Source organism: Homo sapiens, chromosome 4, assembly GCF_000001405.40.
Source record: "Homo sapiens chromosome 4, GRCh38.p14 Primary Assembly".
NCBI classification, from domain to species: Eukaryota; Metazoa; Chordata; class Mammalia; order Primates; family Hominidae; genus Homo; species Homo sapiens.
Genome location: NC_000004.12, coordinates 132650059 through 132671585, shown reverse-complemented (window position 1 = coordinate 132671585; position 21527 = coordinate 132650059). Strand labels below are relative to the sequence as shown.

At 34.0% G+C, this 21527-nt stretch overlaps 1 long non-coding RNA gene across 1 annotated transcript in view, besides 1 other annotated feature; it reads right to left on the bottom strand.

The window, feature by feature from the left end:
* LINC01256 (long intergenic non-protein coding RNA 1256) overlaps window positions 1–21527 on the bottom strand; it is an 87415-nt gene that overhangs the window by 6918 nt on the left and 58970 nt on the right. Inside the window, exon 3 of the long non-coding RNA NR_126401.1 lies at window positions 9221–9324. This is a non-coding gene — a long non-coding RNA (long intergenic non-protein coding RNA 1256). The remainder of the gene's footprint in view (window positions 1–9220; window positions 9325–21527) is intronic.
* Window positions 12769–13269: an enhancer, noted in NCBI's record as "H3K27ac hESC enhancer chr4:133579472-133579972 (GRCh37/hg19 assembly coordinates)". NCBI's record gives its function as "activates a minimal SCP1, AML or CMV promoter by ChIP-STARR-seq in primed H9 embryonic stem cells {active_cell/tissue: H9 hESC(primed)}" and the evidence as "EXISTENCE:reporter gene assay evidence [ECO:0000049][PMID:30033119]".

Below are 21527 nucleotides of genomic sequence, written 5' to 3'. Positions count from 1 at the left end.
GTCCATGTGTACTCAGTGTTTACTCCCACTTATAAAGTGAGAACATGTGATATTTGGTTTTTTGTTCCGGCATTAATTCACTTAGTATCATGGCTTGCAGATACATCTATGTTGCTGCAACTAGACCCTTTCCTTTCACCACATGCAAAAATTAACTCAAGATGGATTAAAGATTTAAATATAAGACCTCAAACTATAGAAGCCCTACAAGAAAACTTAGGAAATACTTTTCTCGACATAGGCCTTGGCAGAGCAGTTTTGGCTAAGTCCCTAAAAGCAATTGCAGCAAAACCAAAAACTAACTATTTTGTTTACCTCCTGAAGTTAAAATTTTTGATGATACAGAATAATATGAAAAGTTTAGTTGTTTCTTTATTTTGAATTGCTGTCTCCCCATTTATAACACCTCTACTGATGGAAAGCTGTAACTTGTTTCCATTTCAGCAAGGTGATGTGAAAATTAAATGTTGAGATTTAGAAGCTATGATTTTTTTGTTTGTTGCCATAAAATCAGAGGATGAAGTAAAATTTTACAGATGCAGAATTTATTTTGAAATTTGTTTCTGTAACTCAATAACTTTCTGTGGTAAGTTGCTTTTTTTAAAGAAAATAATTATTTTAAAATTGCAATTTTTCACAATGTTGTAAAATTGTTGCAGTTACTTTAAAGTAGCAAGTGATCTCTTTTCTGTTTGAGACATTTAAAATACTTCTCTGAATACCTCAATGTAACTCTGAGATATCTTGGAAATAGAATTGTTTTGAACTCTTACAAGTTTGATTGATATTTGCAAAATATGTTTCAGTTCCCTGTAGTTGTTTTGTTTTTAGTAAGTGCAAGTTTTCTCATGATTTCTGGATGTTTTTAATGGTCGTACTGTTAAATTATCTGTCATTTAATGAATGCAGTTGTGCTTTCCCATTTCAAAATGTTTAATTGTTTAGTAATTTGTTGAAAGTATGAAATATTTGTACTGCACTACAAATCTTAACCCTGTGGACAATATGTTTTAAAAGATATAATTTAAATTTTATAATTTAAAAAGGTTGAATTTTTTTAACATTTTGAAAATTAACCATACCATACCAAAATTTCCCCATAAGCATTTCTCTTTTGTAGTATTACATAGATAAAGAAATAGCTGCCAGTGGATTTTATTTTACATACTTGTAAATGCTAAGGCTAGAGAATGATAAATGTTGAATTTCTTTTAAGTTGTTTCTTACCACAATTATTAAATTATAAAACTCTCAGTAAGACTGCAGTTTGTTGTACAGCTTATACAAATACGGTACCATTGATAAACTGTAACTTGTGCTTGTTGTTTCAAATTGTTTATTAAATTACTAAAGCTTTCTTTAAAACCAGTAGAGTAAAACTCCTATAATAATGTTTTAGATTAACTTAATAAGCAGGGATTTCTTTACAAACAATAATTGCTTTTGAAAAATAAAACCCCTAATTATTTTTTGTTGTTTTAAATCATTTTTTAGAAAGTTTTTGGTCGAAGAAAAATACTGCTTTCAAGATTAGTTTGTGCTTACAAAATTACAACATTATTTATGCCCATATTTCTTTGATGTGTCATAAGCTTTGTCAACCTGGTCAGCAAAACTGACTCTACTGAGGATTCTGTATACAAAGATTCATACTACTTCATGAAATTGAGTTAACCAATGTGTTCTTCCTACATGGACCATCTGCTTTAACCTAGATTTTAAAAAGATTTTTGTTAAGATCAATATCTAGAAAAATATTTGTGGTATTTAATAAGCCAATAAAAGTTCTAAAATAAAAATAAGGGAAAACTAGCAGTTCACCATCTTTACCAGAACTGAGCTGAAATTATTCATTCGTATTTAATAACTAATAAGCCTAGGATATACTATCATTTAGTAAGGTATTTTGAAGAAAATAAGGAGCATGTATTTTTAATCATAGAATTAATGTAGATAGTAATATAATGGATGAGGAGTACAAATTTAAAAAGTTATATTATTTGGCATGTATTCAATAGATAATAAAATAAGATTGTTTCTAGTAAATTCACACTAAAATCATAATCACAACAGTTAGCATTTCAATGTTTACTGTGTACAGCAATTACTCCCTTCAATTTGTAGGAATTAAGTATTTGATTTTGAAAAGAACATTGTGAGATAGGTATTAATGTCATTCTATTACAAATGAAGAAAAAGGCACAAAAAATGCTAAGTAACTTGCTAAAGTCAAAGCTATTAAATATTAGAACTAGGAAAAAACCTCTTAACCATATGAAGATGGATGTTGAAAATTAATAATATGGATAATACTGAAAAAATTAAATAAACTAATTTAAAATTAAATAAGTTAAGAGTTAAGTTAATTAATTAAAATTAGCAATCTGGATGGCACTGGAAAATGAGTTTTTGTTTATTTTTGACATATTATAAATGGATTAATTAGTCAGGTATGTCCTTGGCACAAACCCATCAGCAAGGAAGCAATTAAGTGTGTTTGTAAAGTTAACAACACAAAGTAAGAAACAGAGAGATAAATTTTGGGTTGCAGCAGGAATATTCAAAAAGGCAACTCTAAGAGAAAGTAGAATCAAATTGCAAAGCCAAGATGAAGATCTATAGACTCAAGTCCATAGCCTGAAAAAGCAAAAATGGAAAGATAAATCATATTAAGAGATTATTTATAGGTTTTTAATACTTTTTATTTTAAACAAACGAGTTCTTAGTTTTCCTTATTGATTATTCCATTTAGCAGAAAGAGAGAAATAATTGTGAAGTTCACTGTTGCCCAAACAATGAATATTAATACTTGACTGAGAAAAACTATTGGGAACTTTAGGCAAAAAAAAAAAGAAAAAAAAAAATTGTATCATTCTACAATTTCTAATGGCCAGAAAGAGCTTTGGTCATGCCATACATATACATGTTACAAAGTATAATGTAAGAAAACTTATACTATTTATTTGACAGTATGCTGTTACTAAAATGATGTGAATCTGAGTGTAAAGGTGCAAAGGAATTTTCTGCAAATTTGAATATATAAGTCTTAGGGATTGCTATGGTCTTAATGTCAAAGCTTAATCACCAACATAATAATATTAAGGGGTAGTGCTTTTAGGAGACAATTAAATTATAAGAGAGGAGCCATCTTGAATGAGATGCATGACCTTATACAGGAGGTTGAAAAGAACACTGTAGGCTTTTTGCCTTTCCATCTCTTAAGCCATGAGAGGAGACAGATTTTATCCCTTTTTCCCCCCTTCCACCATGTGAGGATACAGCAACAGTCTTGAAAGCAAGACTGGGCCCTCAGCAAAGAACCTGCCAGTGCCCTGATCTTGGACTTCCCAGCCTCTAGAACTGTGAGAAAGAAATTTCTAGTATTTATAAGTTACTCAGTCTGTGGGATTTTGTTATAGTAGCCCAGAATGAACAAAGAGCTATAAAGAGTCAAATTTCTTCCTTTTTTTTTTTTTTTTTTTGAGACAGAGTCTCACTCTGTCCCCCAGGCTGGAGTGCAGTGGCACGATCTCTGCTCACTGCAAGCTCCACCTCCTGGGTTCACGCCATTCTCCTGCCTCAGCCTCCCAAGTAGCTGAGACTACAGGTGCCTGCCACCATGCCCGGCTAATTTTTTGTATTTTTAGTAGAGACAGGGTTTCACCATGTTAGCCAGGATGGTCTCGATCTCCTGACCTCATGGTCCGCCTGCCTCAGCCTTCCAAAGTGCTGGAATTACAGGTGTGAGCCACCATGCCCGGCCAAAGAGTCAAAATTGAACTTGTATCTGTACTGGTCTTCAGTAATAGGAGTTGAAAGTTGAACTGGTCAACATTTCCACTGAAATAGCTTTTAACAAATCTTAAAGACATTGAAGATTTGAAAGGCAATTTCCTCATGAACAGAGATAAACTTAGTATGAGAGTAAGAACTTGGCATGCCCTTAGAGCATGTACCAATACTAAGCAATGGTGCTCAAGTCCTGTTTCTCTTTCAAAATCCAACCTCTTGGGCTTAGAGGAATAGAAATCAATGCTTAAGTTGAGAAAATGGAAAATCTTCTGAAGGACATCCTCACACCCATGTTGGTGCCCTACTATTACCTGCAGGCTCACAGGCATCTTGCTTGTGCCCCTCCATGTTCTCATCTAATCTGCATTCCCTCAGCAGCCCTGTGAGGCTCACCTGTTGACCACCAGGCCTTTAATTTCTCCCCCATGCCCATACTACCTTACTACCAGTTGTGGCAGCTATTCTCTTAAACTCCAAGAGACTGATTACATTGTTACAATCACTTACCCTTATTATTTTAGCTTTTATTTCTATTTTTCTCCATCTTTAAAATATCTCTTTCATTGAGGAATTCTTCTCAGTTATGGACAAGCAAAAGTGTTTTTCATTCTAAATAATTTCTTCCATTATGTATTAATCCACTTCATCTATTAACTTCTATCACTTGTCCATTTATCATATAAACTTCTCAATAACACACTTTTTGTACTCACTTCTCAGTACACTTACATCTGATTTTTACCAGCAAAATTTAATTTAATTAAGAAAACTAATGTGCTCCTGTTTATCAAATCCAATTCCTTATGTTAAAATTCAGGAGCCACATTTAGGACTGTTTTCACATCTCCTTGAAATGTTTTGTTCTTTTTGAATTTATGAAACTTTTGGTTATTCTTTTGGTTGCTTTAGTCATATTTTTGTTTGTTCCAAGTACTTGTATCTTACCCACACGTTGTCAAAAAAACACTCTAAAATTATTCCTCAAGTCTATATTCTTTAAACCTAGCTCTTACATTGGCCACTTTTTCCATCCAAAAAACAAATAGAAAAGTTTAGGACCCTTGCTGGAAAGCCTTTAATATCTTGGGGAGAATATTAACACTTTCTTTTTGAATGATAACTTATTATCATTTTTCAGAACACAGTAAGTTGGAACTAATATTCTCACAACAAAATTACATATTAAACTTTAACTTTATTTGCCCTCAAAAAAAAAAGTAATTGTCATGGCTACAAGGAGACAGAAAAAAGAAATTGCAAGGTAATACATCTCATGCTGTTGACTGTTCTCTCACTCTTAGGTGTCTAAGACAGTGGCTCCTCACTTTTACTAGAACCTAATTCTGAAAATAAATAGGAAATAATTAAGTCAAAAAATGTGGGAGAATGTAGAGGAGGGGAAGAGTTTGCTAATGTCGGTGGATTACCTTTCTATTGCTGCTTTAACAAATTGTCACAAATTTAATGATGTAAAGTAGCACCTACTGGATTTCTCACCGTTTTTGTGGATTAGAAGTCTGAGCACAGTGTAGCCCACTTATCTCTCTGACAGAGATGCATAAGCTTAAAATCAAGGTTTTAGCAGGCTGTGTTCCTTTTTGCAGGCTGAATGGAGGAATGTACTTCCAAGCTCGCTGAGGTTTGGGCAGAACTTAGTTAAATGGGACTGTTGGACTGAGTTCCTGATTTTTTTTCCTGATTGGCCAGGGATCCTTCCCAGCTTCTGGAGATAAGCTGTAGTTCTTTCTCCATCTTGAAAGCAATGAATGCTGATGATTCATTCTCATGCTTTAAATTTGCCCAACTTCTTAAGCTTCTTCCCTCCCACTTTTTTCTGCTGCTTTTGGGATTATGTGAATATGTTGTACCTACTTGGATAATCCAAGGTAATGTCTCAATTTTAAAGTCTCCTAATTGGTCATCTTTACTATATCTGCAAATATATTATTTGTAATTTTACCTAGATTAGGAGTCAGACATTTGAGGAAAATTGCTAGAATCCAGCTCATCATATCTGGCCAAATCCCATTCTTCTAAGAGGAGAGCTGGAAGATGGAAGTTTTCACTCTATATTGTTTCAAAAAATTGAAAGAATAAAGGCAGAAGACTCCCGGAAACTTGTATCATTGTCTCTTGGATTTTTCTTTCTGGAAAACAAGTCTAATTTGCTTATTTTTTCTAATGTTTAAAAACCATTTAGTTTTCAGAATATATGAATATCCTTCGAAACATTTTTACATGCTTTTAGAATAGTTTGATCAAAAATAGCTGTAGAAAAGAGCTGGTTCAATGATGTAATGATATGTTATTTCAAAAGAACATGAATAATATATGTGTTCCCTAACCTTCCAAAATCTATCTATGCACTAATCAACTTTTAAGCCATATTTTAGATATTATCTTCCCCCCAAATATGTGCATTTTCTTCCCCATACCCCCATATTTCATTAACTACTCATCAATATACTTCCCTAGCCCCTTGTACATACCCCTCCTATATAGAATTTATTTCAGTAACTATTTGTGCAACATTGTTTCACATCAGAATAATACTTTCCTTCAACCAATGGCCATATGACCATATCTTCATCTTTTGTTTAGTTTTAAATAAGTGCATAGAGTATTGCAGAGTATATGAATGATAGAGATATAAAATCTCCATGTCAGCTTTGGTTCAATTGCCTTCATAAATAAAGATGCTTATATTTAATATTGAGTGTGAGGAAATAGAAGGAACTATGTGAAATCTGAGTACCTTAACTGATGTTCCTATAGAAGTTTGTAGCATCAAAAGTCTGTCAGCATGAGTCTGTAATAATAATGGTACCAAAGAAAAGATAAATATTAATCACCCCCATTCCTAGTGCCTGCTAATGAGCCAGGTTTTTAAATTATTATTTCACATGTTATAAGATTATATGAGGAAATGAAATATGACCTTCAATGGTATATTGTGTGTGAAAGATCCCTTCAAACAACAGCCAAGATATGATTATTTCAAACAACTCCATGATGTTTCAGCCTTCCAGTTACTCGTGAAATTGGAAAAGACTAGGCCACCAAAAACAACAAAAACCAAAAAGCAAAAAATAATCTCAGAAGATATTTTAAAAACAACAACGAGGTGTGTATATCCCCTGGACACTGTGAAGATTTAAGGGAAAATTTTCGACAACCTTCTCACATGACCTCTCTACAATTATTTGGTTTCTTTTTACCAGCAAACTCCTGCAACTTTTTCTCTCACATAAAATTACTATCTTATACTCCTGTCCTGATCTCTTTCAACTGTCAGTTTTTCTGTATTTGATTCTTTTGTGAGGCAGACAAGAGGAATGTGATAGGATGAAGCAAGGTGGCAGCCTGTCAGCAGGATTAGCACCTCATAATAGTCAACTACATGTTTGGACAACTGGCCATGGACTCCCTTGGTTGGTCCTAAGATGGCAGTGTGGGGAGAAAATTATACTTTTCAGATCCATTCTAGGCATTTAGCGCCTTGAAGCAGAGGTTACAGTTGGTGTATTCAGAGTCCAGAGTGCTCACCGTTACACCATGTAACCTCACACTGTAGAGGTTAGAGTTGGGAATTACCTGACCATGTGCCCTGGCTATGCTGTGTAGCAGAAAAAGGCTTTGAGCCTAAGAGAAGCTAAATTACCTCAATGCACATTCCCTGATGCCAGGGTAACAGGTGGATGGCTGTGTGATCTGCTGATTGCTGGCTTTCACCGCAAGCTATTGCAGGCAAGAGGAAAGGCTTCAGCACTAACAAAGTGGAATGAGTCTAAATGAATTCAGAAAATGTTTGCTATGTTTTAGTTTATGCAATTGGAATGTAATATCTGATATCAACTTACATAATTCTCATGTCATACATAAAGTGATCTTGGAAATATGTATGAAATTATGTGTTAATTTCAAAATAGGGAGAAATTTATGATAATATTTGACTCTTTAACCTCCACAGTACTCCCACCAAATGCAGTCAGTAACTTGTATAATATTGGAAACAATTTTTAGGATACCAGCAGAGACCTGGAATAATAGGTATTTTAGATGACTGAATTAGAATCTCAAAAAGCTTTTGGCACATTGGAGTGACAGAATGGATCATACAGGGTGACACTTAGCAAGCTTGAGAAGGTGTTTACAAACTTCAGGCTCCAGGTTAAATTATAATTAAAAAAGAAAAAAGTGAATTAGATTATGTCTTATTAATATTATTAAAGATGAAACTTAGAGTAAAAACATTAGAATACTGATCTACAGCAATTTTCAAAAAAATTATTATAATTACATTTACATTTCTGGGGCACGGTTATTAAATATATATATATTTAATAAGGTATGTATATATATATTGAGTTATCTGATCCATCCACTATGAGGGTGAGGTTAGCAAGATACTATTCTATTATATTTCTTTGATCCTGTGTAAATCATGCACTTGTGCTTTGTTTCGCCCACCTCTAGATATTGACTTTGTATGTTTGGCAGTAAAATCAAACAAATATAAACAGATCACCTGCTTTTTGCTGATTGTTGGCATTTAGAGAATCTAAGCTTGAAAACCTTATTGTTCACCATATGATACAAAATGACCTATGAATTGACAAGCACAATATTAATTATCTAATTTCTATATAATGATATTTTTAAACGTATTACATTCAATTTCTTCCTTTTTGCAAATTTTTTGAAGACTATTTGCTTGTTATGCATTAAGAAATATGAGCTATGGATTAATGTATTTTCATTTAATAAAACACTACCCTTTAAGGTTACTAAGTTGTGCATTTTTATCTAACTTTCACTGTAATAATTATTCCACTTTAATAGTGCCATCATGATTTTCTTAATTTACTAATATAGTTTTATCCACAAAATCACTTTACATGCTTCTGATGTGAATCTTATCATTGGGCTTTTTTGCAGCAGCTCCCTAACTCTGAGACTTTTCCTATTAGGAGATGGCAAGAAACCTATAACTGGGTCATGATCTTTGGTTGTCTTTTCATTGTTCCTGGATCTATTATATATGCTTTACCTCCCTTGTAGGATTTAAGTTGTTTTCAAAGCTAAGATCATGATTCTATTTCTCTGAGACCTGGAAGTTGTCCATATTCTCTTGTGCTTGTTGTCACCATCTGTTCTTACTAAATGGCCACTTCCCAACAATAGTTGGACAGAAGTCTCTCAGGACAAGGATAACATCTTGATAGAAACATATAATGGAATTGGAATCTTTTCTTACTCTCTGGAATTATTAAAACAACTACTTTAGGCAAAGGATACATACTTAGTAAGTTTCAACTTCTTCGCTTGAGGCAAAATTCTCTGTTTGCTCTTTCAGTGGAGCCTCTACATATGGTCACAAATTCATCAGCATGATCAGCTTGCAAAATTATAGAACAAGTCAACTTACTGGATGGCAGTCTCCTACAATTTTTTGAAGCAATCTGGGCACCAAATGGCAGCAATCTTCTCCAATTCTGTTATAATTTCTGATGACCACAGGACCAATAGTATCTAAGAGGAAATATAAAAGACAGTGAGAAAAGATGATTAAACTTTTAAAAGCACAAAACTTTTACACATCTATGAAATAAAAATTGACATCACAAGTTTCATAGAAAATATTTAAAAGAGGTAAAGAAAAGATATGAGAATGAGGTTACTTTCCAAAAAATTAAAATATGTGTCTTTATGCATCATTTGATTACACCTTATTTAAATTCATTTTTGAAGGTACATTTCGGATTGATAATGACCTTAGTAGCAATGTTGCAAAGCTAGGTTTTATTAAAGTTGTTTTACCTTAGTGACACAATTCAAGCTAATGTGCCAAACAAAATGTAGCCTAATTAGTACAAATGAAGGAAAGAGACAATTAGCCAAGGGGGAATAATGAGCAAAGGGAACTGGTAATGTGAATCTAGACAATCATGAAAACTTCCAGCCAGCAGGCAGAAAGATAGATGTACTCACCCATTATTCAAAATACACCTTGAAAAACAAGGATTTTAATTTATCTTTACCTTGATTTTGACTCAGATATATTTACTCAGGATTATGTGCTTGAGTTGATGTTTTTGTTAATAATTGGTATGATTAATAGGCCATATAAATTTTAGTATATATTATGCACCTTATAAATTTTATTAAATATTAGTTAAAATGCACTACACTGTGCTCAGGGGTATTAACACACACTAAGACTGCAGATGCCTAACACAATAGAAGTCTATGATTTATCATCATGTGATTTATATTTAAAGAAAGTAGAAGAGACAATTTTAGTATTATTCATCTCATACTTTTAAAAATGCCATGCACTGTCTCTTCAAAGTAGAATATATCTGAATGATGCATTCAATATACTTGGATACAGTTGCCTCTGTTTGTTTTTTTTTTTTCATGGTTAATAATTTTGGGATTTTTATACTGCATTCTAGAAGAAAATTTAGAGGCAATGGTAGAGTATGAAAAAGGTGAAAATATTTGTTTATTTTTTTTCTCTGATATGTAAAGCCTGATTATTTGTATAAACTCTTGGGACAAAATTTTTTTATAAGTTGAAATATAAAAGCAAAATAACTTCTGTAAAGCAAAAGAATTAAAGTACATGTGTAATTGCTTAAGACATCACTAGAGAGTGATATATATTTGGATTATTATCTGGAAAGTAAAATGGTAGATGATAAACATTAACTTGATAAAAATTGAAACTAAGTTAACGCCAAATAATTTCTTTTGATTGCACTGCCAATGGATAAATGTGAACTGATTTGAGTCATTCCTGGAAGTATATATACATTTCCAAATTGGAACAAGGCAGAATAAAAATACATTTCCTGAATCCATTCTAGAAGTTATTCTTAACTAATATTCTATTTAAATCCTGGCATATTATATAAATATTTTGAAATTATACCGAAATGTTTTGTTTAAGAGGTAATGAAGCCAAATCTTAACATACTAGTGAGCTATTTGCCAATTTAACACAGACCCACAGGAATCTTTCTGTTTGCAGAAGGATTTATTCAAATGTAGATATTTATAGCATGTTATATGCATTTTGTACTAATACATTACTCTGAGAAATAGTATTTTCAAATTTTTACTATTTTATATTTAGATACAGCAAAACATTTTGGTATTGAAAAGTACTTTATGTACCCATTTTCACAGAAGTTAACATTTAACCAAAAGCTGCTTTACCTCTGTTTGTAGAGAAGTAAACATTTTTGTGATAGCTTGACTGAAAATAAAGATTGTTTACAGCTATTATTATAGTCTTTGTTCTTAGATTAGTAGTTGCTGGTAAGTTTATCTCACTTTTTTTACAAGTACATATAAATGCTGTTTATTTATCTAAGTGAACTCCTGCTGTTTTATAAAGGCAATTAATTATTCCCAGCGCCAAACACTTTCTTGTCACTATAAAATACACAACACTTTCTTCTTTCATTGCTTATATTTAAGCTAGATTTGAATAATACTCTTTTTTACATTGTAGAGAGTCACTGAGCCCACTGAAAATTATATTATAGTAACTTTCCTCTATTCTGCTTCATCTCTCCATGGTGCAACATAGAAGGTTGCACAGATAGAGATATTTTAAAATACCTCTATTAAGCGCATCATTTTCTTCATCAATTGACAAGAAGTAACTATCACAACTGTTTAAAGTCTCTCATTTAAGTGTTCAACAGTATTAAAACAAAGGGTCAAAAATGTGATTTGCATATTATACATGCTCTCTTCAGTTAGATGATGCAATGAAATGGAAAAAAAAAACCTTTTACTCCTTGAAAAGCATGCGGTGTAATTTTATTTGAGGATATTTATATGTCTATTTATATTTGTACTTCTGTTGAGCTTGACTTATGACATCACTGTCTTACTATAGCAGCTTTTAAATGGTTAAACAGGAGAATTTAATAGAAAGGCATATAGAAAAATGAAAATTGGCCAAATTGTCATAGAAAAGACCTCTACCTTAAATCTAGATATTAAAAACTCCACATCCAAAAACAAACAAAACAACTCCACACATTTTTAAGGATATAAGAATTGATATGTGTCACAAAATATGTGTCACAAAATGTTAGTTGGATATTAACCAACTTACAGAAATTGCTATGAATAAGTCCTCTAAAAATCCAAGTTGTTCTAATGTGCTTTAGCTGGTGTCTTAACATTTTTTTCAAGTTTTATCCTACAAATCAGCAAATGTTGAATTTATATTTTTTAAATTTACCAAATAGTAATTTAGCATAGGAGAAAATAAATGCCAAAAGTTGCATATAAAAATACACCAATTTCTGAAGATGGTTGACTAGATGCATCTAGTAAGTGCCTCTTTCATAGAGAGGAAACAAAATATCAAGCAGATATTTAAACTTTGAATAGATCATCTAAAAGAGAACATTAGAATTCAACAGAGAAGTGAGGGAAAGCACCGAAAGCAAAGAGAGAAGCCAGAAGCAAGGTAGCCTGCACTGCTGGGCTGAGATCTGCTGGGAGCTGAGAGGAGCTCCCAGACATGAGGAAATGTTAAGTGAGTGACTACTGGGGCCCCACTTTCCTTCCACAAACTTCTAAAATCTTAGCTGCAGGAAAGCCCTTTGGTTTCAAAGACCTTGAGACCTTACACAGGGTGCTGCCTAGAGGCGAAGCCAAGGCACTGCTCCAGAAACACAATTCACACTGAGTTCCACAGTCTGCTGGCACCATTCTTAGAGTCAGGCCTACAAAGGTCTGCATTTTGTTCTGGGGTTGTTGTTATCACAGTTGCCACTGAGCTGAGTAGGGATAGGGAAGGCTGGGCACTGTCACGGACCTTGAGGACAAGTCCCACTGTTGCTGCTCTGACTGTTGTGCAACCATGATGTGAGGAAAGCACAAGCCCCACAGCTGTCTGCCTTCACTGCCTCCATTGAGCGGGGTCCTGCCCTTCTTGGAGGCAGGTCTGCAATGCAGCTGCCACTGCTTCCACATGAGCATTCTGCTGGTGGTATGGGGACAATCCCAACCCTGCCTATCACAATCAGTGCCAGAGCTTATTTTCAGAGAGCCTGAAGACCAATCTGCCAACCCAGTCCTGTCCTCCGAGTGTACCATCCGGGGCCTGGAGATCACCCAGCCCAGTCCACCACTATTGGCACCTTAGCACTCCTCCCAGGGTCTGAGGTAGGGTTGACCTAAACTGGTGATACTACCACATCTGACGACCACTTACATGAGCTACCTATGGGTGAGGGGACTGGCCCACTCAGCCTATCATATTCACTGCCACCACCAGCATGGATTGCTAGGGTTCTAGCAGGTTGTTTTACCACTGCTGCTGACACTGCCCACATCACATGCACTGTCCAAGGGCCCAAGAACATGTCCACATGCCCAACCCACCACTACCAACTGAGCAAACCACGTGGAAGCCCAAGAATTGGCTCAACTGAGCTCACTGACAGTGAAGCCATTGCATACCACTCTGGAACTCAAGACAAGGTATGCTCAGCCCACTACACCTACCACCACTGGGGCTTGAAGACTGGCCCACTTGGCATTCTGGTCCCCAGCTAAAACTCACCACAGCCTCCACTAATTATCACACCAAAAACCACTGAAGAAATCACAGATACCACTGGTGTTGTTTATAACCAAAGAAATCATACCGGGACTACCCTACTGCATGCATCCAAATTCAAGGCCAAAGTACCCTACCTAACCAGTAACATATATAAATATTCAGAAAAAAAAAAATCCTCCCCTACAAAAGAAAATTCGAAAAATTGGAAGAAGCAACTGTTACACCAGATGCACAGATATCAATGTAAGGATCCAGGAAAAGTGAAAAGTAAGAAAATATAACACCTTGAATAGAAAGCAATAATTCTCCAGGAACAGATCCCAGTCTAAAAGAAATTCACAAAATCCTAGATAAATAATTCAAAATACCAATTTTAAAGAAGCTCAGCAGATACAAGAGATTTCTCAAAAACAATACACTGAAATCAATAAAACAATTCATATGTTTTTCTAGATATGAATGGGAGATTTACTAATGAAACAGAAAATTTTTAAAAAGCCAAACAAATTCTAGAACTGAAGAATTTACTAAATGAAATACAAAATAAATTTAAAAAATTTAACAATAGACTAGGTCAAGCAGAAGAAAGAAACTTAGAACTTGAAGACAGATCTTTTCAAGTAATCTAGTAAAACAAAAATATAGAAAAAAGAATAAAAAAGAATGAGCAAAGCCTTTATGACTTTCGAGAAAACTTAAAGCAAATAAATAGTCAAACGTTCAGTGTCCCTGTGAGGAGAATGTGAAAGGGTTAGAAAACCTATTTAAGTAAATAACAGATAAAAGCTTTCCAAATCTAGCAAGAGAATTGCATGCCCAGATACAGGAGGCTCAAAGATCCCCAAAGAGATACAATGCAAAGAAGTTTTCACAACACATTATAGTCACAGTACGTAAAGTCAAAGACAAAGAGAGGATTCTAAAAATAGCAAGAGAAAAGTACCTACTCACCTACAAAGGAACACCCACCAGCCTAACAATGAATTTCTCAGCAGAAACCTTATAGGCCAGGAGAGGATGGGATGACATATTCAAAAGGCGAAAAGAAAAAAATAAATATACTGTCACCTAAGGATAATATATCTAGCCAAATTATCCACAAATGAAAGAGGAAGTATTTCCCAGATGAGCAAATGCTGGGAAAATTAATTATGGCTAGGTCAGTCCTGCAAGAAATGTTCAAGGGGGTCCTAAACCTAGAAGTAAAAGCATAACATTTACCATCCTGAAAACACATGAAAGTAGAAAACTCACTGGTAAACCAAACACGCAAATGAGGAAGAGAAAGGACTCAAATGGCACCACTATAGCATTAAAATAACCAAAAAACAATTAACAATATGACAGGAACAAAACTTCACATATCAATAATAACATTGAATATAAATGGTTAAATTATCCACCTAGAAGATATAGAAATGAGATTGAACTATGTGCTGTCTACAAGATATTCAATTTACTTGTAAAGACACATGTATACTCAAAGTAAAGGAATGGATAAAGTTACTCCACATATATGGAAACCAAAAGTGAACAGGAGTACCTATACTTAGAACAAACTTTAAGTCAAAAACAGTAAAAAAAAAAAAAAAAAAAAAAAAAAAGACAAAGAAGATCACTATATAATGATGAAGAGATCAATCCAGCAAAAGGAAATAACAATTCTAAATATATATGCAGTGAACACTGAAGCACACAGATTCATAAAGTATACATTACTAGATCCAAATGAGAGGTAAACTTCAATTATTTCACAATAATATTGGGGGACTTCAACAACATTAAAGAGAAAATCAAGAAAGAAACATTGGATTCAAATAGGACATTAGATCAATTTTAAATATATTTTCTAAATACACTGTAGCACACAGATTTATAAAGCATATATTACAAGATCTGAAGAGAGAGAGAGACAGAGGCTTCTATACAATAACAGTCAGGGACTTCAACACCCCACTCTCAGTATTAAAAAGAAAATCAAGAAAGAAACATTGGATTCGAATGGGACATTAGAACAAATGTACCTAACACCCATTTACAGAGTATTGTATCCAACAACTAGAGAATATATTTCCTTCTCATCAGCACATGGAACATTCTCTAAGAGAGAACATATATTAGGCCACAAAACAAGTATCAACAAGTTTAAACAAATCAAAATCATATTAAGTATCTTCTAAGACCACCATGGAATAAAACCTGAAATCAGTTCCAGGAGGAACTGTAGGAATGATACAAATACATGGAAATTAAACAGCATGTTCATAAACAATCACTGGGTCAATCAACAAATTAAGATGGTTATCAAAATGTTTCTTGAAACAAATGAAAATCAAAACACCACATACCAGAACCTGTAGGATATGTCAAAAGCAGTGCTAAAAGGAAAGTTTATAGCAATAAACAAATGCCTACATCAAAATGGTAGACAGATTTCAAATATAAAACCTAACAGTGCAACTCAAGGAACTAAGAAAACAGTAACAAACCAAACCCGAAATTATAAAAAATAATAAAGATCACTGTAGAAATAAACAAAGTAGAGACTTAAAATATATAAAGGATTAATGAAGTGAAAAGTTGTTTTTTTCAAAATGGAGACTAAAAAAAATAAAGGATTAATGAAATGAAAAGTTGGTTTTTCAATAAGATAAACACAATTGATAAACCCCTAGAAGGCTAACAAAGAAAAGAGAGAAAACCCAAATAAGCAAAGTCGGAAATGAAAAAGAAGACACTACAAATGATATGACAGAAATACAAGAGGTTATCTGAGACTATTATGAACAACTACACACTAATAAGCTGGAAACCCTAAAGAAAGTGGATAAATTTCTGGAAGCATACAACCTATTAAAATAGAATAAAGAAGAAGTAGAAAATCTGAACAGTGAGAATCAATCAGTATTAAAAAGCCTCTCAAAAAAGAACAGCCCAGGACCTGATGGATTCACAGACAAGATCTACCAAATGTATAAAGAATATAAAACCTTCTTTTTTTTTTTTTTTTTTTTTTGAGACGGAGTTTCACTCTGTCGCCCAGGCTGGAGCGCAGTGGCGCGATCTCGACTCACTGCAAGCTCCGCCTCCCGGGTTCACGCCATTCTCCTGCCTCAGCCTCCCGTGTGGCTGGGACTACAGGCGCGCGCCACCATGCCCGGCTAATTTTTGTATTTTTAGTAGAGACGGGGTTTCACCGTGTTAGCCAGGATGGTCTCGATCTCCTGACCTCGTGATCCGCCCGTCTCAGCCTCCCAAAGTGCTGGGATTACAGGCGTGAGCCACCGCGCCCGGCCAAAACCTTCTTAAACAACTTGAAAACATTGCCTTAAGATGGAAGAATTCTCCCTAACTCTTTCTATGATGCCAGCATTACCCTGATACCAAAATCAGACAAGAACATAACAAAAAAAAAAAAAAAAAGAAAAGAAAACTACACTCCAATATCCATGATGACCATAAATGCAAAAATCCTCAACAAAGTATAGCAAGCCACATTCAACAGCACATCAAAAAGACAATACCCTAGAATAAAGTGGGATTTATAGTAGGGATGCAGGATGGCCCAATATATGCAAATCAATAAGCATAATACGTTACATCAACAGAATGAAGGACAGAAACCATATAATTACCCCAATAGGTGCATAAAATGCATTTGATGAAATTCAACATCACTTTGTAATAAAAAATTTCAGCAAACCAGGAATACAAGGAACATACCTCAAAATAATAAAGGCCATATCTGACCAACCCACAGCTAACATCATACTGAATTGGGAAAAGATTACAACTTTTTCTTTAAGATCTGGAACAAGGCAAGGATGTCTGTTTTCACCGCATCTATTCAGTATAGCACTAGAAATCCTAGCCGGTATAATCAGGCAAGTGAAAGAAATAAAAGATATCCAAATTGAAAAAGAGGAAGTCGAATTTTTCCTCTTTGCAAACGATATGTTCTTTTAACTAGAGAAACCTAAGGACTCCACCAATAAACTTCTGGATTTGATAAATGAGTACAGTAAAGTTTCAGGATACAAAATCAACACACAAAAATCGGTAGTGTTCTATACACCAATAAAGAAATACCTGAGAAAGAAATCAAGAAAGTAATACCATTTACGATAGTGATAAAAATTTAAAACGTAGAAACAAATTTAACCAAGGAGGGAAAATCCCTCTATGGGGAAAACGACAAAACACTGATGAAAGAAATTGAAGAGGACACCAACCTAGAAAAGGCAACCCAAGCTAATGGATTGAAAAAATTGTTATTGCTAAAATGATCATACTGCCCAAAGTAATCTATAGATTGAATGCAATACTTACCAAAATACCAATGTCATTTTTCACAGAATTCGAAAAAGAAATTCTAAAACTCTTATGGAACTGAAGAAGAGCCTGAATAGCCAACAGCATCCTCTACAAAGAGAACCACGATGGAGGCATTATACTACCTACTTCAAAATATATTACAAGACTATAGTAACCAAAACAACATGATACTGGTATAAAAAACAGACACATAGAACAGTGGAACGGAATACTGAGTCCTGAACTATATCCACATATTTATAGGCAACTGATTTTTGATAAATGTGCCAAAAACCTATGCTGGGGGAGGGACACCTCTTCACTAAATGGTGCTGAGAAAACTGGATATTCACATGTGAAAGAATGAAACTGGACCCCTGTCTCTCTCCATATATAAAAACTAACTTAAGATTAATTAAAAACGTAAATGTAAGTCCCGAACCTATAAAACTACTAGAATAAAGCATAGGAAAAACACTTCAAGACATCTGTCTAACAAAGATTTCATAGCTAAGACTTCAGTAGCACAGACAAGTATAATAAAAATGGGCAAATAGGACTATATTAAACTAAAAAGCTTCTGCACAGCAAAAGATACAATCAACAGAATGAAGAGACAACCTGATGAAGGGAAGAAATTATTTGCAAACTATTCATCTGACAACAGACTAACATCCAGAATACACATGGAACTCAAACAAATTGACAATAAAAAAAACTCATTAAAATTGGACTATGGACATTAATAGACATTTCTCAAAGGAAGACATACAAATGGCCTGCAGGTATATGAAAAAAAAAAAAAAAACAACATCACTAATCATCAGGGAAACGAAATCAAAATCACAACGAGTTATCTTCTTACCCAGTTAGAATTGCTATTATTAAAGAGACAAAATATAACAGATGCTGGTGAGGATATGGAGAAAAGGGAGCTCTTACACATGGTTGGTGGCAATAAAAATTAGTTCAACCACTATAGAAAACAGTATGGTATTTCTAAAAAAAAAAAAAAATAGAACAACCATATGATCTAGCAATACCACTACAGAGTATTTATATCCAAAGGCAAATAAATCTGTATATCAAAGAGATACCTGCACTCTCATGTTCATTCCAGCACTACTTACATTAGCAAAGATATGAAAACAACTTGTGTCCATCAATTGATGAATGGATAAACAAGACATGCAATATATACACACAATTGAACACTATTTGGCCACGAAAAAGAACATAGGCTTGTCATTTGCAACAACATTGATGGAACAGGAGACAGATAAAACAGATATCACGTATTTTCACTCATATGTGGGAGCTTTAAAAACTTATTTTATGGAGATAGAAAATTTCATTATATCAGAGGCTGAGAAGGGTGTGTAGGTGGGAGCAAGGAATGAGGAGAGGTTGACTAGTGGGTGCAAAGATACCCACTAGTATGTTAGGTTGAAGAAATAAGCTCCAGGCTAGGCGCGGTGCTCATGCCTATAATCTCAGCACTTTGGGAGGCTGAGGCAGGCGGATCACGAAGTTAGGAGATTAAGACCATCCTGGCTAACACGGTGAAACCCTGTTTCTACTAAAAATACAAAAAAAAAAAAAAAAGAAAGAAAGAAGCTCCAATATTCGACAGCAGAGTAGGGTGACTATAGTTAGCAACAATATGCTGTATATTTCCAAGTAGCTAGATGATAGGATTTGAAATGTTAGGAACACATAGAAAGGAGGAATACTCAAGGCTGTGAATACCCTAAATTCCCTGAATTGATCATTATGCATTCTATGCATGTAGCAAATACTCACATGTACCCCATAAACATGTAAAATATTTTGTCTCAATAAAAACAAGAAAATAGAGAAAAAAACAAGTGTATGTTGACGGTAACAAATATATGCACAAAGTTATCTGCATATTAATTGCCCATCTCTGGTTACATGACACTTATTCATGTGAGGAAAAAACCTCCACATATCCTTTATTCCATATATTTTTATGTGGCATATATAGTCACTAAATATACGCTAGAAATCACATATGTGACCAGTAACATGTGCACCAAGGTGTACCGATGAGGGAGGTTACAAAAATTACCATTTCACCCACCTGTCCTACATATCCCAGTTTGTGTGGGAAGCTGCATCAGAAGTATCAAGAAATAAAACACATTAGAGATATTAAAAAAGAAAAAACTTCTTAAATATAATATACCAGGCCTTAGTATACTATTTTTGTGACTGACAGAGTTGCTAATACTGTCCTATTTTCTTTCTTCTTCTTTCAGACAACATAATAAAAGGAACGAGAGCAACATTTATAATGGAAGAAAAAAATGCCTATGATGATCTCTACCCTTTGGAACAAAAAAGCTCAGTAATGCTTGTCTTCCTATTTGCTAGGGGAGCAGCAGAAAAATCCATTTCAATTTCTATTCAGTATAGGGGTTTTATATGTAGCGCACAGAAACAGAATGTTGATGTCAGGAAATGTGCCATATGTGTCAAAGCAAGTGGGAGGGAGAACTATGAATGGCTTCAATGAATGAACTGACTTGAATGCAATGTTTCTTTTGTAATGATAATAGAAGTGGGAAAAGTTTGCATGTGTATGTATTTCTAACACTAAAACTATTTTAAAGGGCAAAAATCATTTGAGAGAAACAACTCAGGGGTCAGATAATTGATGATTATTGGCCTGGATTCTTCAAAAAAAGGTTATGTAAAATCATTAAATAAATAAAATGTATATTTAAAGAGTCAATAGTAGAATTACAGTAAAATACAATTTGTGACATTTAATTGGATCCTAGCTAAGAAGAAGAACAATTAATGGGGAAATTATAACTCAATATAATAACTTTGAGTTTATATATATAATATATATATTATATATTTATAATATATATTAGATATATTATATACATAATATATATAATAAATATAATATATATAATATATATATTATATATAATAAATATAATATATATATTATATATAATAAATATAATATAATAAATTTGAGTTTATATATAACTCAAAATATAAACTCAATATTGGATAAAATTTTTGTTATATTTTAGGAATAATATTTTAGAAGCTATGATTATATTGTAGGTATTTTACAGATATAGTACTTCTTAAAAGGTGTGAAATTAAGCATTTAGGAGTTAAAAGTCATGATGTCTGCAATTTAATATCTGTTGGTGCATATAAATTCACACACAAAAGCAATGTTTATTTTGCACAGAACCATGTTCATTGAAACACATACTTATCCAAAGTCCATGATTTTCTTTCTCTCTTTCTTTCTTTCTTTCTTTCTTTCTTTCTTTCTTTCTTTCTTTCTTTCTTTCTTTCTTTCTTTCTTCTTTCTTTCTTTCTTTCTCTCTCTCTCTCTCTCTCTTTCTTTCTTTCTCTCTCTCTGTCTCTCTCTCTCTCTTTCTTTCTTTCTTTCTTTCTCTTTCTTTCTTTTTCTTTCTTTCTTTCAGATGGAGTCTCGCTCTGTCACCCAGGCTGGAGTTCAGTGGTGCGATCTTGGCTCACTGCAAGTTCCGCCTCCCTGGTTCACACCATTCTCCTGCCTCAGCCTCCCGAGTAGCTGGGACTACAGGCACCCGCCACCACACCTGACTAATTTTTTGTATTTTTAGTAGAGACGGGGTTTCACCATGTTAGCCAGGATGGTCTTGATCTCCTGACCTCGTGATCCACCCACCTCAGCCTCCCAAAGTGCTGGGATTGCAGGTGTGAGCCACCGCGCCCGGCCAAAGTCCATGATTTTCAAGATTTAGTGATAATTGCAATATAATTCTAGTCACCATGTGAC